This window comes from Homo sapiens, chromosome 19 (genome assembly GCF_000001405.40).
Source record: "Homo sapiens chromosome 19, GRCh38.p14 Primary Assembly".
Lineage (NCBI taxonomy): Eukaryota > Metazoa > Chordata > Mammalia > Primates > Hominidae > Homo > Homo sapiens.
In genome coordinates this window covers 15,238,611-15,252,789 of record NC_000019.10, presented here as the reverse complement: position 1 = coordinate 15,252,789, position 14,179 = coordinate 15,238,611, and the positions used below count along the sequence as shown (strand labels likewise).

At 58.5% G+C, this 14,179-nt stretch overlaps 1 protein-coding gene across 9 annotated transcripts in view, besides 1 other annotated feature; it reads left to right on the top strand.

Annotated features, from left to right (window-relative positions):
• BRD4 (bromodomain containing 4) overlaps nt 1-14,179 on the top strand; it is a 97,021-nt gene that overhangs the window by 79,750 nt on the left and 3,092 nt on the right. For 5 of the 9 annotated variants that reach the window (XR_007066712.1, NM_001379291.1, XM_047438540.1 and 2 more), the window contains exons 12-19: nt 8,028-8,080; nt 8,190-8,559; nt 9,303-9,890; nt 12,768-12,880; nt 12,969-13,131; nt 13,268-13,398; nt 13,526-13,731; nt 13,810-14,047. Coding sequence is in view for 8 of the 9 variants with exons in the window: in NM_001379291.1 (NP_001366220.1) it covers nt 8,028-8,080; nt 8,190-8,559; nt 9,303-9,890; nt 12,768-12,880; nt 12,969-13,131; nt 13,268-13,398; nt 13,526-13,731; nt 13,810-14,047 (1,862 nt within the window). In the remaining variant the exon portion in view is untranslated. Of the gene's footprint in view, nt 1-3,499; nt 5,744-8,027; nt 8,081-8,189; nt 8,560-9,302; nt 9,891-12,767; nt 12,881-12,968; nt 13,132-13,267; nt 13,399-13,525; nt 13,732-13,809; nt 14,048-14,179 lie in introns of those variants that run through there. The other 4 variants (NM_001379292.1, XM_047438543.1, NM_014299.3 and 1 more) reach the window with 1 other exon arrangement.
• Nucleotides 1,375-2,246: an enhancer, noted in NCBI's record as "H3K4me1 hESC enhancer chr19:15361355-15362226 (GRCh37/hg19 assembly coordinates)". NCBI's record gives its function as "activates a minimal SCP1, AML or CMV promoter by ChIP-STARR-seq in naive H9 embryonic stem cells {active_cell/tissue: H9 hESC(naive)}" and the evidence as "EXISTENCE:reporter gene assay evidence [ECO:0000049][PMID:30033119]".

Genomic DNA, 14,179 nt, shown 5'->3' with positions numbered 1-14,179 from the left:
GGGCTGAAGGACCCTCCAGGACTCCAGATGCCCACATTCTCTACCACAACTGCATGCAGAATGCCGTGGGCAGCTCACTGGCCTCCTGGCCTTCCCTGTCGCCATCCTTCACCCTTTCATCTCTAACCGTTACTCTCCCCACACTGCTTTTGTAATCCATCAGCCAGCAGGAGGCACTGCACCCCATGGCTGCCCAGGAAGGGCTGGCTTTGCCACCCGAAGCTAGGGCCCCCACTCGCAGCAGAGTGACTGGGGTGAATGGCTGTATTCTTGGATCCAATTAGCATTCCTGGTGGCCGCTGACTTTTCACTTTCCATGCCAGCCAAGCCTCCAGCTTGCCTTCCTCTGGGTTTTTGCACCTCCTGTTTTCTAGTTGACTTCTCCTACCAGGGGTTTTGTAGTCTTCTCATCTGAGGATCTGAGTGACCAAGTGGAAACCCCAGATGCTGAAATTGTCAGGGGACCTGATTAACTAAAATGACATGACGTGGTCGTGGCAGTGTGCTGCTTTAGCCCTCACAAGACAAGACACCTTAGAGGGCTGTGGCCATCACATCCTGATTTCCAGTGTGTGATCATGGCCTTTGCCCTTGGCCTCTGCGTCCCTCTTCTGGGCTCCTCTGCTTTGGGAGAGGAGTGGGAATGCTCCTGGTTTCCTGAACGAGTGCCCCACACCCCTCCTGCCGCTGCCGAGATTTTATTATTTTTTCACTCCCCCACTTTAAAAAAAAGTGGAAAGATTGTGCAACAAGTAATCTGAGAGTCCTGGGAACAGCTGTCCTGGCGGGAAGGAGGGCGAGATTTACAGTCTCAGAGCCGCTGGCTCCCAGGCTCCCAGGCTCTGGCGGTCCAGCCCTGGCCGCTCATGCAGCTATCTGGGCTCTGGCCTTCCCCTCTTCCCAGGCGCCCTCCCCACCTTGGGTTTTGCCTGGCTCCCTTTTGTCTTCCCAATCCTGGCCAGCAGGGGCTTTCCTTTGCCTTCTGTGTGCACTGAGTGAGCTCTGTCGTGGGCCGGCAGGGTGCTTCTCCTCTCAGGAGGGGCCGCTGCGAGGGTTTCGTACGGCAGATCCCGAAATGGGAACCCACACCCTGGCACCAGTAAATACAGCCTTCTGCTGCCCTGTCCCGCACAGGACTCTGCACTCTCAGGGCGGGGGGCAGAGGGGGCGTAGCTCCTTCAGCAGCTGCTCTCCTGGGTCCAGGAATCCCGGCAGCCCTGATGTCCATGGCCCGTTACAGGCAGCTCTGCCTTAACGGGAGTGGGTCAGGGTGGGGGAACATTATTTCCCTTTGGTCTTTTGGTGCCTAGTTGATTTGCAGGCCCGCGCCCCCGCCCCCCCCCCCCCCCCCGTTCTTGTGTTTCCATTTGGATTGGAGCCGAAATTCCTGAAAGGGCCTATTTTTGTCACTTATACTACGGGGTTAGTTCCGCTGACAACGGCCCTGAGACATGAATCACCAGAAGAAAACGAATGGAGTCACTAGATTGAGGCTGGGGGGTGTGATACATGAACACCCCTCTTGGTAGCTATCCATAGACCGGGATGCTGTGGACTGATGCAGGCGTGGGGTGGTCCTCTGGGGCCAGGCTCTAGTTCAGGGAGCAACGGAACACAGGCAGGAGGAGGATGGCGGGGGTGGGTGCTGCTTTCCCAGCTGTGTCCCAGGCCACCATGTATTCCCCACCCTCTGCCCCAGCAGCATGCAGTGCAGTGGGCCAGCCCTACCACTTCCTCTGATTCCAGCTATTGCTTGGGCTGTGGTCTTCCATTGAGCTGTGATTCCAGCTAAAGCCTGGAGCTGCTTGAGGATTCTGTATTGAGACAGGCAGGGGTAGGGCACAAATGCCACTCTCCCACCACCCCTAGGGCATCTGCAGACCTGGGTGGAGCAGGCTGGAGGAAGACACTGTCCCAGGTGGGCTGTGGACAGTACTGTGGCTTTGCTGTCATTAGCACTGGGGTTAGGTCTGCCAAGCACATGGGGCAGGGCATGTCCTAGGAATCTTCTAGCTTTCACTTGTCACATAGCTGACATCTGGTTCTTCCCAAGTGTCATGCACAGGTCTTTGTGAGCAGAAGTGTCCCCACAGCTTATGTCCCTCTTAGGAATACCCGTTTAACCTCAGCTACCTGGGCTGGGACAGGGTCTCAGGGAGGTGTGAGAGATCCTCCTGGGCTTTGGTCTGGTCGTCTAGTTGGAACGGGAGCGCAGTCCAGCTATTTTAGTTTCCTGGCTTCCTTTTCCCAGGATTGGAGCATGTGGGTGTTTCTTAATAGCTCCAGGGGAAAAAGGAATGCTTGATGTTTTGGAAAGATTTGAGCTGGGAAGTGCAGACAGAGGCCATGGGGCGTTCTTACCACACAACCAGCCTCAGCTTCCTGACCCCCAGGGTCTTTGAGGGACTTAGTCCATCTCCAGGCCTGCTGCTTGCCTGCTCCAGAGTGTGGCGCTTACCTAGGGGAATGGTGAGGACCCTGGAGGTGGGGGAGTAGGAAGAGACTTGAAGATAGGGCAGTAGCCTTTCTGTCTGCACAGCCAGGTGACTCCCCCCACAAACAGCCAGCATTTGCAGCTGGAGGGATTCTGGGGCTTCATGGGCGGGTGAGGGCGAGCCTTGTGGAATGTGGCCCAGAGTGAGAGGCCGCCAGTGGGCGGGTTTTTCCCATGCCCGCACTCAGGGGCCAGGGAGTAGCACGTCGGTTGCATCCGTGACTCCAGCAGAGGCATCCGCTCTGCTACGTGGGTGGGAACAAGCCCAGTGCCCCTCCCTGGTCCAGGGAGCCATGTTGGATACCCCAAAAAAGGAAAGAAAGGACAAGACTTTATTCCTTAGCCTGTTTCTTTTTCTTTTTTTTCTCCTCCTCAACAGTGTATATAATAGGTTCTGCTTTTTAGAGTTTGAGCTTTTTGTTTGGGGGATCTGGAGGAATGCAGAGATGAGGCTGTTTGCTCTTTCCCCTCCACTGGGGGTCCTGCATTCTGGTACCTCCTTTCTTGTAGACCCAGGAGGAAGGGCTGGCATCGCCTTCCTGAGACTAGACAGTGCACAGCCCCTGGGTGAGATGAGCTCAGAGTCAGCAGGGGCCTGGTGGGCTTGCCACACCTGGCTGGTGGGACAGGGCAGGGGCATCACTCAAATTCAAAAGAAGCCACTTGAGGGCAGTAAAGGAAATGCCGGCGTGCGCTCAGGCAGGGCACACGTGGAGCTTGCTAGTGGGAACCAGGGCCACTCTCTAGAAGCTGAGCAGGCTGGGGGCGGTTTCCAAGGCATCCATGCATTCTGCCTCTGTGACCTTTCTAAGCGGGCGGTGGGTCTGTCCCTACCCAGGGTTAGCCAGGCACGGGGCAGGGCTCCAGTCTCCAGTGCCGTTCTTGTGCCCATCAGCCACCAGGGCGCAGGAGGTTGGCTCAGTCTGCGGTTCTTCTGTTCTTGTGACTTAAATGGTACATTCCACACCATTTCTCTCACACTGGTTTCTCTCTCCCTCTACGTAGGTCCTGCCTAATCATTGGACACGGACTCTTAATAAAACGGTCTTCAGTTCCAGATTCCTTCCCAGCAAGCTATAGCTTAAGTCCATTTTCTTCCGTGAAAGGGACAGGACTCCATCAAGTTATGGAATTCCTCAGAGCCCTGGGCCTGTCCCCCGGGGTGGATTAGTCATGTCCAGCAGCACACGCCTAGTCCCGCCTTCGGGAAGGCTGCCTGCCTGGCCAGCCGCCCAGGCCTCTCTGTGTAAAGACTGCCTGGCTGTCCTGCCCAGCCTTCCTGGTTCTCTGGGGTCCTCTGGGTGGGTGGCATCTCCTGGAGGGTGATGACAATCCCCAACACATGCATTCATGTGGTGCTACTCTGTGTGCAAAGCCAGACCCCAAGTATGTTTTCTCTCTTTGTCCCATCCCTCTTTTTCTGGGACTTTGGACCCTAACTACTTCCCTCCTGAACCTTGCAGTGACATCAGTCCAGGAGAGCTCTCGTTCAGTGTGCGGAAGAACACTCTGACCTCTAGAGCTGTCCTAGATAAGGAGTGGGAGCTTTAGAGGCAAGGCCTCTAGACCCTGGAAGGCTCAGTGAGGCTCTTCCCACAGCATGCTTCTCACTGGTGCCCTGTAAGGCTCGAGCCACCGCTGACTCTGAGCCTTTTGGAGTCTTTCCTCCTTCGTCTCCATTGTTCCCGTGCATTTCCAAAAGCTTAAGTTGCCTGGTGGGCATTTCCCCAGTTTCTTTGGCCTCCGTCTTCTCAAGTCACATAGGGAAAGTACCTCCTGGAACCAGGCTGCAGTATGCAGGACCTGCCAGGCAGGCACTGGTGAAGGGCCTTGGGCCTATCATCCCCCCAACCCCACCTCACCCCACCCGCCTCCTCTAGTGGGGTGAGTCTGGGCTGGTGGACCAGAGAGGGTGTCACAGACCCTCAGGGACTGCCCCATGGACACCTCTGACTGGTGTTAACAGTGTGAACATTTTCCCCGTCTTCAGTCCCTTAGAATGACGACAGCCCCTGGGGTTGGGGCAGGCGAGTGTGGCCACATCATCCAAGCCCTCCCAGAGACACAAATAGGCTTTTTTGCTCTAAAAATAAATACCAGCCCTTTTTTGGTCACAAATCCAGCATCTCAGCAGAAAACTGCCTGACATGAAAAGTCCCCTGAGGAACTGCATCTGCGTTTCAGGGGCTTTTCATTTTTTCTCCTTTTTTAAAGTGTAGATTGTGGGTGCTTCCTAGAGGCCTGCCTTCTTCTGGAACTGGAAGTGGGCTATCACCATGGGCAAGCCCTTGGGTGCAGGCTCCCCACCTGCCTGGGAACTCTGGCAGCTCTCCTCAGCTCCTTGGGCTTGAGCAGCTGCAACTGCCCCAGATTTGCTGTGGAAGCAGGGGCTAGCCCTGGCCTCACCAGGGCCTCCCGGGGCCCTGCATTGATGCTCAGGAGTTCCTGGGCTGCTCTTGATCCTTTCTGGGCATCCAGCTTCCAGTTAAGCTCTGTTTGCCAAACAAACTATTCTCAGCTGCCCTTTGGCCTGCGCCTGATGTGTTCCTGTTGCAGTCCCGCCTGCCTGAGACAGGAGCAGGCAGGAGAGCCTTCATGCCCAGATTCCCACAGGACAATTGGGGAGCTGCTGGCATTGTCTTTCTGGGAAGATTCTGCTTTCTTGGACCAAATGGCAGCCTGATTACCAGTGTCGGGCCTGCATGCTGCCCCCGACACACGCACGCACGCGCACACACGTGTGCACATGGGCCATAGCCACAAGCCAGCTCTCCTCCAGGGTCCTTTCAACCTCGCTGTCCAGGGACCCTGTCCTTCTTGCCCGTGGGGCTTCCATCTGGCAGAGAACGTTCAGGGCTTGTTGAACTTGAAAGCTCATTAGACTTAAGCTGTCACCTGTGCTTGGTGCCCCAGGAACAGCCAGAGAGGACAGTGCCCACTCACTTCTTGTTGGCAGCCTCCTGTGCAGGAAGTGCCAGCCGGGCCTCGACGCACCAGCTGGCTGTGGGTCCTGAGGAGGGGCGGGAGGCGGCCGCTCAGTGCAGATGGGGACTCCTCTCCTCTGCCCTGACCTTACCCTCCATTACCTCCTTCACTGGAGTGGGGCTGGGGGGTGGGTGGAATCAGTGTTTTAATCGGATTTTTAAAAAACATTTTATTTCTTTGTACAATTACCATCCTATGTAAAGATGAAATTTGTGTTGAGTTGAAGATTGTCATGGAATAAAGATCACACCGTACTTGAGGCCATCTTCATGTAACCCTTTCTAGAGAGTTTTGTGTGGGGGTGTCTTGGGGCTGGTGTGTTGTGAAGCTGTGCACTTCCTGTCTTGTCTTTTACTGGTAACTCTGACACAAGGCTCAGACCACATGGGCCAGAAGGGGGTACCTCTACCACCAGCCCCTTTAGGCATCTGGTCCTGGGGGTCTGCCGTGCACATGCCGCCTTCTCTCCCCCACTTTTTAGGCCTGCCTTGCCTGGGGGCCCCAGCACTTGCAAGGGGCCCTGGAGACAAGTCCTCAGGATATTCCCTGTGGCCTTTCCAAGGCAGCTGAGACATGCCCCCTGGAACCCCCCACAGGCCCTGCTGCGCTTTGTCCCTACATCTTCTCCTATGGGCCTCTGCTCACAGCCTGCAGGCTGTGAGGGGTTAGAGTGACCATCCCTCTTTTACAACCAAAAAAACAAGGTTTCTTCCAAGGCCACGAGACAACAGGCGAGCCCCAGCATATCCTTCCCTTGCACACACACTTTTTCCCTCAACTCTATATCTGGACACATCCCTGAGGCTTCTCCTAGTCGGACTTCACACGGTGGCCCTGCTGCTTCCCCCTACCTTCCGCCTTCTGCCCCGGGTCCCCTCCAAGGTGTGCCCAGCATGCCCCCAGACAGCGCGGCTCCATCACCTCCTTGTGCCAGGAGAGAAGCCCTGGCCTTTTCTTCCCAGTTCCCTAGTGTGCAGGGTCCCCCTGGTCCTGTGGCTGCCAACCTCTGCAGCCAGCGCTCCTCCCCCCACCACCACAGCAGTCAGACTCCCTGTTGCCCTGACACTGCAAATCTACTCAAGCTTTCCCTTCTGGCATGTCTCACCCACAACAGTATCTCTCTCATCAGATGTCATACTCTGACCCAGAGCGTCCTGAGCCCTGTATGCAGGTTTTAGGCGGGGCCCCAGGTTCCCCCGTGTCCCCAGTTGCAGCCCCTGGTCATTTGTACGAGGACGTGTGTCTGTAGCTGCTGAGGTCTGTGTCTGTGTCTTGTCTGGCGTGGAGTGGTGAGCTCTTACAGGGCACAAGGTCCTTCCCCATCCCTTTTGGTGGCATGCTGCACTGAGGGCCACGTGCCTCACAGAAGCTTAGCGTGGCCCTCCACGAAGCAGATCCAAGTGGAAGGAGCCTGGATTTGGGCAAAGCATGTGTCCTCCAACACCAGCAGCAAGAGGCAGCACCCTGACAAGGAGCTCAGGCGAAGCCAGGCAGTGCCATGAGGTGCTTCTCAGTGACAGGAATCCAAAAGGCGCCATACCATGGGCCCGGCCTCCCATCTGGTGGCAGGCGACTGTGACCTGCCAGCCCATGAGCACTGGCCAGGGCTCATGTCCCCCTGTGGGGCTTGTACACCATCCATGTTTGGTGAGGGGACATCCAACTGGCAAAAGTCCCTTAGTGTAAATCTCTGGGGTGAGGACAGAGGTGGGCACGCTGGCTCTCGAGTACACCTCTCAGGGGCAGACACACCCTGGACCCATCCACCCTACTGTGGTGCCAAGCCGTCGGCCCACACGAGTGGGGGCGTATGCTGCCTTCTGTCTGCAGCATGGTGACTGTGTCCCAAAGCAGGGACTTCTGAGGTCCATCTACCTCTTTAGTAGCTGGTCATTCCCAGGAGGCCAGCCTGCTCCTTTTTTTTCTCCCGGAGTGGGCTCTCTGTGTTTTCCCTTGCCGATATGTTCCTCACCGTCCTGTGGCTCTCAGCCCCAGCTGAGCCTCTCTGCTTCCCTTTGGAGGATGGAAAGGAGTGGGCCTTAGAGGGCCATGCAGTTGGAGGCCCCCGAGAAGCTGCTTTTTAGCCATGTGACCCTGGACAAGTCCCCTCCCTTCTGAAGCCCCACTTTTCTCAGCTGTAAGATGAATGTGACCATTGCAACCATCACAGGTTGTTGGAAAACTGAGCAGGTTGCTGTCCAGGCCATGCACTCAGTCACTATAGTGAGTGACTGACCCTTGAGTAGTGGGAGGCGTTGGGCAAGCTCTCAGCTTCCGGTGCAACCGTGGTGATCTGAAGCTTGGCAGGGGAGGCTTTTTCAGGCACAGTCCCTGCTAGGAAAAGCAGCAGGCAAGTGGGTAGGTGATGCCTCGCATGTCTCTCCCTCTCCCGTGATGACCAACTCATCCCTCATTGAACTCGGCTGCCCTTTCTCAGGGTCACTGGTCCTTCTCCTGAAAGTGCCCTGTTTTCTCGTCTTTCTTCATCCAAGGCCAGCTCACTCACCTTCTCCCCCAGAGCCTCACTACCTTCTCTTTTCCTCTGCAGAGATGGCTCCGAAGTCAAAAAAGAAGGGGCACCCCGGGAGGGAGCAGAAGAAGGTACATGGGCTCAGGGGCATCCTTCATTAGGTGGGACGTTGGGTCTGGCCCGGGCCAGTTCTGCCTGCCTGACATCAGCCTGTCTGTCTGTCTGTCTCTCTGTCTGCAGCACCATCATCACCACCATCAGCAGATGCAGCAGGCCCCGGCTCCTGTGCCCCAGCAGCCGCCCCCGCCTCCCCAGCAGCCCCCACCGCCTCCACCTCCGCAGCAGCAACAGCAGCCGCCACCCCCGCCTCCCCCACCCTCCATGCCGCAGCAGGCAGCCCCGGCGATGAAGTCCTCGCCCCCACCCTTCATTGCCACCCAGGTGCCCGTCCTGGAGCCCCAGCTCCCAGGCAGCGTCTTTGACCCCATCGGCCACTTCACCCAGCCCATCCTGCACCTGCCGCAGCCTGAGCTGCCCCCTCACCTGCCCCAGCCGCCTGAGCACAGCACTCCACCCCATCTCAACCAGCACGCAGTGGTCTCTCCTCCAGGTGAGCCGTGGCCTGCCCCAGTGTGGGTTGAGACCCCTTCCTGCCTCGGTTTACCCATGTGGTGTCCGAGCACTCTGGCTGGGCAGCTTCTTAGCCTCAGCTGCTCTGGTCTCTAGAGGGAAGATCTGTGGCTTCTCGAGGCCATCTTGGAAGTTAAAGGAGATGCCTCAAGACAGGTCATGCATGGAGTTATTAACACGTTGATTCAGAAGATTTTTGTTTCTAAAACACTGACATCATTTGAGTAACAATCTAGATGATTTTGACTTATTTCTGCTGCTGGGCCAGGCGTCATGTTAGATGGGAAAAGCTGGGACCCCTCTGCAGCTTTTCTCATCAGGGGTTGGGGGATGCACTCATGAGATGGGATTCCTCCCATGGAACCTGGACAGCACTCACCTGGGGGATATGGGGACAGGGCCACCTTCCTGGGGGCCTGGGGAATGGCCGGGCAAGTGAGAGACCGAGTTCTGCACTGAGGCGTGAAGGGCCATTGTGAGCATGGGGAGCAGGAGCTGGGGACACAGAGCATAGGGCAGGATGACACCGCCCTAAAGCTCTCTCTGGAAGCTGTTTACTGCTCTGGAGTTTGTGGGAGGCCACGGTAGGTGGGGAGGGAGTGCCAGTTTGAGGGAGGCCAGTAGGAGAGCACTGGAGTCCAGATGAGGTCAGGATGGAGCAGAAAGGCCAGGCTGGGGCCACAGGTGCTCAGGCCTCACCGCCTCGGTGTTGTGTTCTTCCAGCTTTGCACAACGCACTACCCCAGCAGCCATCACGGCCCAGCAACCGAGCCGCTGCCCTGCCTCCCAAGCCCGCCCGGCCCCCAGCCGTGTCACCAGCCTTGACCCAAACACCCCTGCTCCCACAGCCCCCCATGGCCCAACCCCCCCAAGTGCTGCTGGAGGATGAAGAGCCACCTGCCCCACCCCTCACCTCCATGCAGATGCAGCTGTACCTGCAGCAGCTGCAGAAGGTGCAGCCCCCTACGCCGCTACTCCCTTCCGTGAAGGTGCAGTCCCAGCCCCCACCCCCCCTGCCGCCCCCACCCCACCCCTCTGTGCAGCAGCAGCTGCAGCAGCAGCCGCCACCACCCCCACCACCCCAGCCCCAGCCTCCACCCCAGCAGCAGCATCAGCCCCCTCCACGGCCCGTGCACTTGCAGCCCATGCAGTTTTCCACCCACATCCAACAGCCCCCGCCACCCCAGGGCCAGCAGCCCCCCCATCCGCCCCCAGGCCAGCAGCCACCCCCGCCGCAGCCTGCCAAGCCTCAGCAAGTCATCCAGCACCACCATTCACCCCGGCACCACAAGTCGGACCCCTACTCAACCGGTAAGTGGTCCTCACCCGTAGACTCTGGGGAGGCTGGTGCTGGGCCTATAGTTTTGTCCTCAGGAAGCCAGAAGGGTTAACTCATGCTTCAGGCTGCAGTGGGTTCAGAGCTGAGCCTCAGCTTGGAGGGGGACCTGGAAGGGTCATTGGTGCTTCCTACAGTGTGTGTTTATCAGGTGTCTCTCTTGCTTGTGAGGTGAGATCACTCAGAATAAGGCCCCTCTGGTCCCTCTCTTGAGTCAGGAGCACGACAATGCTAGGTGACTTCTTGCTAGGTGGGGAAGCTAGGAGCCCAGGGGAGGTACCTGATGCACCTCAGGGGGTCAGGATATGCTTCCAAGAGGCAGTGATCGCAGACAGGTAGCAGCTAACTTAGCAGAGTGAAGAATGAAGTTCAGGGAGAGCCAGAACCATGGTGTGGGGAGCACTGAGCTGGAAGCTCAAAAGGCAGCTCAGAGCCCGCCCAGGACCTGTCCTCATCGCCTGTTACCAGCCTCCAGCCCAGTCCACGCCACCCTTTTCCCATTGACAGCATTGGTCAGGCCACACCCTTTCACTTTTCCTGGGCGCTTAAGTGTCAGTAACCAGAATGTCCTGGCTGGCTCCGGCAGGGGATGTTCTGGTCAGTGCCTCCTGATGTGGTGCTGCAGGGTTAGGGTGGAGGGTCCTGGCCTCAGCAGTGTAGATGGTGCTGCCTGTCTTGGGTGTGTACCGGGTGCTGCCTGCAAATCAAGCAACGAGGCAGGGCTGTGATTACTCCTAACCCAGCAAAAGCTGCTGGATGCAGGCCGGGCGCGGTGGCTCACGCCTGTAATCCCAGCACTTTGGGAGGCCAAGGCAGGTGGATCACCTGATGTCAGGAGTTTCAAGACCAGCCTGACCAAGATGGTGAAACCCTATCTGTACTAAAAATACAAAAATTATCCAGGCATGGTGGCAGGCACCTGTAATCCCAGCCACTTGGGAGGCTGAGGCGGGAGAATCGCTTGAGTCTGGGAGGCGGAGGTTGCAGTGAGCTGAGATCGTGCCACTGCACTCCAGTCTGGGCAACAGATGGAGACTCTATCTCAAAAAAAAAAAAAAAAAAAAAAAAAGTCAGGTGCCAAGTGGATCTCTGCATGCCCTGAGCCAAGAACAAGCTGCCTGTCCTCCCTGGGAAATACTGGTGTTGGGCCTGGCAGCTGTGCGGCTGTGCCTGTTCTCATGCGAAGCAGGGCTGGACTCCTGTTGGGGGTGATAGACAGGGGATGCAAGGCATTTAGAAGAGCCAGCACTCGGGTGCACCAGGCACCTATCGGGGCTGAGGCAGGTCTTCTCCAGCCAGCTCTACTTCAGGTCCCTGGCCGTGACCCAAGCCCCAGCAGGCTAGGATGGGGCATCAAGAGCAGTGTGGATTGGGATCCTGCTAGGGGCTTTGTAGGCCAAAAGCCAAGTTGTTAGACTCCCAAAGAGACTTAACAGGCATCCCTGGGCCCCCAGCCAGCTTTCAGGAGTCATCCGTGAGCCATCCTCTGAACCCACCAGCAGGCAGGTGGTTTCTATAAACCACAGCCCCTGGAGCCTACCGTTGCCCAGGTCAGCCTCAGCAGGTGCTGAAGGCACTGCCCTAGTTGGGTGGGAGGCTGTTGCAGTCATGTGCCTGTGGATCCCTGGCAGGCCAGACCTGGGGCCCTCCAGCACTGAATGGAATTGGCAGTGCCCAAAGTGGTCCCGATGTGCTAGAATTGGAGGAGATGTCAACGCCAGGAAAACCAGCCACACACAGCAGTGGGCTGCGGGGACAGGATGGGCCTGGCCACCATGTGGGCTCCAAGCAGCTGCAGTGTCTTCTGGCGTTAGGAGTGGGTCCTGGCTCTAGAGAGGATCTACCACACCTGGGGCATTGTGGTTTGCTCCAGGCCTATGAAAATAGATGCCTCCAGCCAGCAGGGCTCCTGGAGAACCCAAGGGTGCCTGTGCTGACAGACAGTGGAAGGAGATGGGCATGAGGCTAGGCTGGGAGCAAAAGCGTTGCAGAGGGGCAGCCTCCTCTGTGGACAGTGTGGCTTGTCCCGAGCTGCAGCTAGCCAAAGAGCGGTGAGGCCCCTTGCCTGCAGGGATTCCAGCAGAGAGAGGCCACATGTTGGATGGGTAGGACTCAGCTGCTCCAGCTGCACAGTCCCGAGGTGCTGGCTCACTGTGATTGAGGGCCCAGTAGTCCCTGTGGCTGCTGGATCCTTCCCAGCCTTGGGTTGGATGCAGGTGTCAGGCTGGCCTGTTTCCTAAGAGACAGCTCCAGGCCCTTTTCCGCCTGCTCCCCACTCGGCGCAGGTGGAGGCCAATTCCAGGCTTCTCTCTTCCGTGGGGGCGTGCAGGCTGAGTGGGGAATAGGACTGTGGGGAGGGTCCTGAGCATCCCCACCCCCAGGACTGGGTCTTGCACCCCCTGCAATCATCCAGGTGGGCCAGGCTAGTTGGCAGGAACCCAGGCTGAGCTTTGTGGGTTTAAAAAGTATTAGGGCCCAGGCCCTGCCAAGCCCACATGTGTCAGGATCTGTGTTTTCCACAGTATCCCAGATGATTCTGATGCACACAGGAGGGTCAAACACCAGGACTGGTGCCACAGGGCCCTAGAAAGCTCTGCTGCACACTGAGTTATGCCCCACATGCAGGGGGACACAGGGCACTCAGCCCTTTCGGGGAGGGGTCATGTCCTCACCAGGCCCAGTCACTTGTGTGGGTCTTCACCCTTTTTGAGCTGGGCTAATGGACCCTTGTCCCAGGGCCTGGGCGGCACATGCAGTTTCTCCATACAGCCCACGTTTTCCTTCCCGACAATTCTCTCAGGGCCAGCAGTTCTAAGCCAGCCCCTTGACACATTCCTTGTCCCTTCTCCTAGGTCACCTCCGCGAAGCCCCCTCCCCGCTTATGATACATTCCCCCCAGATGTCACAGTTCCAGAGCCTGACCCACCAGTCTCCACCCCAGCAAAACGTCCAGCCTAAGAAACAGGTAACTGGCAGGGCTGGGCCATAGTCCTGTGGGCTAGGGCCGGGGGTGCCTGCCCACCTCACCGGCCGCTGTGCCTGTGCCATCCCAGGAGCTGCGTGCTGCCTCCGTGGTCCAGCCCCAGCCCCTCGTGGTGGTGAAGGAGGAGAAGATCCACTCACCCATCATCCGCAGCGAGCCCTTCAGCCCCTCGCTGCGGCCGGAGCCCCCCAAGCACCCGGAGAGCATCAAGGCCCCCGTCCACCTGCCCCAGCGTGAGTGCTCTCCCTGCCCACAGCCAGGGCTCAGGCCCCCCGAGGCCCGTGTTGGACATAAGCTTGCTGTGGGGCTGGTGGACCATGCCCCACTGGGGTGAGGTGGGCCAGGGCCCACCGGCTGTTTATGTTCCAGGGCCGGAAATGAAGCCTGTGGATGTCGGGAGGCCTGTGATCCGGCCCCCAGAGCAGAACGCACCGCCACCAGGGGCCCCTGACAAGGACAAACAGAAACAGGAGCCGAAGACTCCAGTTGCGCCCAAAAAGGTTGGGATGGAGGTCCATGGGTGTCGCTTGCCCCTTGGCCCTGGAAGGTGCCATGCTGGGCACACCCCCAGCTATGCCCTTTAGGCACAGCAGACCCCTCACCCACCCCAACCTCTCTGTTCTGCAGGACCTGAAAATCAAGAACATGGGCTCCTGGGCCAGCCTAGTGCAGAAGCATCCGACCACCCCCTCCTCCACAGCCAAGTCATCCAGCGACAGCTTCGAGCAGTTCCGCCGCGCCGCTCGGGAGAAAGAGGAGCGTGAGAAGGCCCTGAAGGCTCAGGCCGAGCACGCTGAGAAGGAGAAGGAGCGGCTGCGGCAGGAGCGCATGAGGTGGGCGGGTGTCTGGGTGGGGCATGGGGACTCTTGGGGCCACACCAGTCCCCAGGCTGACTGGGACCCTCTGCCCAGGAGCCGAGAGGACGAGGATGCGCTGGAGCAGGCCCGGCGGGCCCATGAGGAGGCACGTCGGCGCCAGGAGCAGCAGCAGCAGCAGCGCCAGGAGCAACAGCAGCAGCAGCAACAGCAAGCAGCTGCGGTGGCTGCCGCCGCCACCCCACAGGCCCAGAGCTCCCAGCCCCAGTCCATGCTGGACCAGCAGAGGGAGTTGGCCCGGAAGCGGGAGCAGGAGCGAAGACGCCGGGAAGCCGTGAGTCTGGAGGCCTGGTGGGGACCCTGGTCTAAGGATTAGCTCCTGAGGGAGCTGGGAAAGGGGGACTGGAGCCTGGACAGGGAGGGGCAGCGGGGGAGCCCCGTCCCTGCTGGTCGGCATGTGGTCCTC